The sequence below is a fragment of the Homo sapiens genome, chromosome 18 (assembly GCF_000001405.40).
Source record: "Homo sapiens chromosome 18, GRCh38.p14 Primary Assembly".
Taxonomy (NCBI): Eukaryota; Metazoa; Chordata; class Mammalia; order Primates; family Hominidae; genus Homo; species Homo sapiens.
This window is the reverse complement of record NC_000018.10, coordinates 56563067-56564316: the sequence shown is the minus strand read 5'-3', so window position 1 is coordinate 56564316 and position 1250 is coordinate 56563067. Positions and strand designations below refer to the sequence as shown.

The 1250-nt window shown below is 52.2% G+C and overlaps 1 annotated feature.

The window, feature by feature from the left end:
* Nucleotides 484-985: an enhancer, noted in NCBI's record as "H3K4me1 hESC enhancer chr18:54230563-54231064 (GRCh37/hg19 assembly coordinates)". NCBI's record gives its function as "activates a minimal SCP1, AML or CMV promoter by ChIP-STARR-seq in primed H9 embryonic stem cells {active_cell/tissue: H9 hESC(primed)}" and the evidence as "EXISTENCE:reporter gene assay evidence [ECO:0000049][PMID:30033119]".

Genomic DNA, 1250 nt, shown 5'->3' with positions numbered 1-1250 from the left:
TAGAGACAAGGTCTCACTGTTTTCCTCAGACTGGTCTCCAACTCCTGGCCTCAAGTGATCCTCCTGCCTCGGCCTTTCAAAGTGTTGGGATTATAGGCGTGAGCCACTGTGCCCAGCCTAAAGTTTCTTCCTTTAAAATGGATCACTACAGTGGGCCAAAGCCAGAGAGAACTGTGTGCAAGTCCAGATTGTCTCTTACTGGTGGTGTGATCTGTGGCAGTTCACTTCAAGGCCTCAATGCTGCTGGCTTTTCATTTTGGTAGATGGCAAGAGCCACCCATGCCTTATAGAGTGTAAAGTGCTGTGTGAAGTGTTTCAAGGACTCCACCCCAAGTCCTGAAACAAGGAGCAGAGGCAGCCAAGGTCCTGGTACTATGCATGAGGTGTGAGGCACATTTGTCCCCTCCACCTCCTTGTGCTGTGGTCTAAAATAGAACGGCAACATCTGCAGCCCCGTGTCAGGGGTGTGGGACAGTCTGGTGAGGGCCACCAGGGGGCTGACTGGCTGCAAGGGGCACAGGCAGCCACATGGCGGCCAGCAGGGGAACTGGGCCTGATCTGTGGGTGTTCCCAACGGGGTCAAATTGCCTGGTGTCAAGTTACCCTGCTTCTCTAATCCACGGGTAGCGGGTAGCGGATAGTCAAGGGTTAGAAATAAGCACTGTGTGCAGTCTCTGGTTTTAGCCTGTAAGATTCCACTGCTTAGCTTTTAGGAGGGGAAGGAAAAGCAATTGAACAGTGAAGGGATAGGGGAATGTCCGCAGGCCCCCTTCCCATGGCAAAATTTCCTCTTGGTGGTACTGTCCCCTGCCAACTCTTTTCTGCCCAAATATCATGCAAGGGGGAGGGGCTATGCAAGAGATGAACAGAAACTCCGTTTATTGTTTTCAATCTCAGCTTAGCAACCATCTCCTTCTGAGAGACTTCCCTGAGTCCTTTAGTCTCCGCCACCCTTAGGACTTACTGTAATTGTCTGCTCACTCGTCTCTACCCCAGACTAGATTGTAAGCTCCAGGAGGGCAAGGATTGTTCCTTTCTTGCTGAATCCTAGGACCCTGTACTCAACACGGACAAATGATCCCAGACATTGGAGTCCAAGGTGGCTGGAATGCGGTATAAACACGTAGGGAAAGGCCTTCCCAGCTTTGTCCTCCCGGTCCCTCGAGTTGAGGCAGTTTCACTAGATTTTCCCTCTGAGCCCAGGTCTGGGGGGTCTCAGGAGCTGGGGCTCCCAGGCTGGTCCTGTTGGT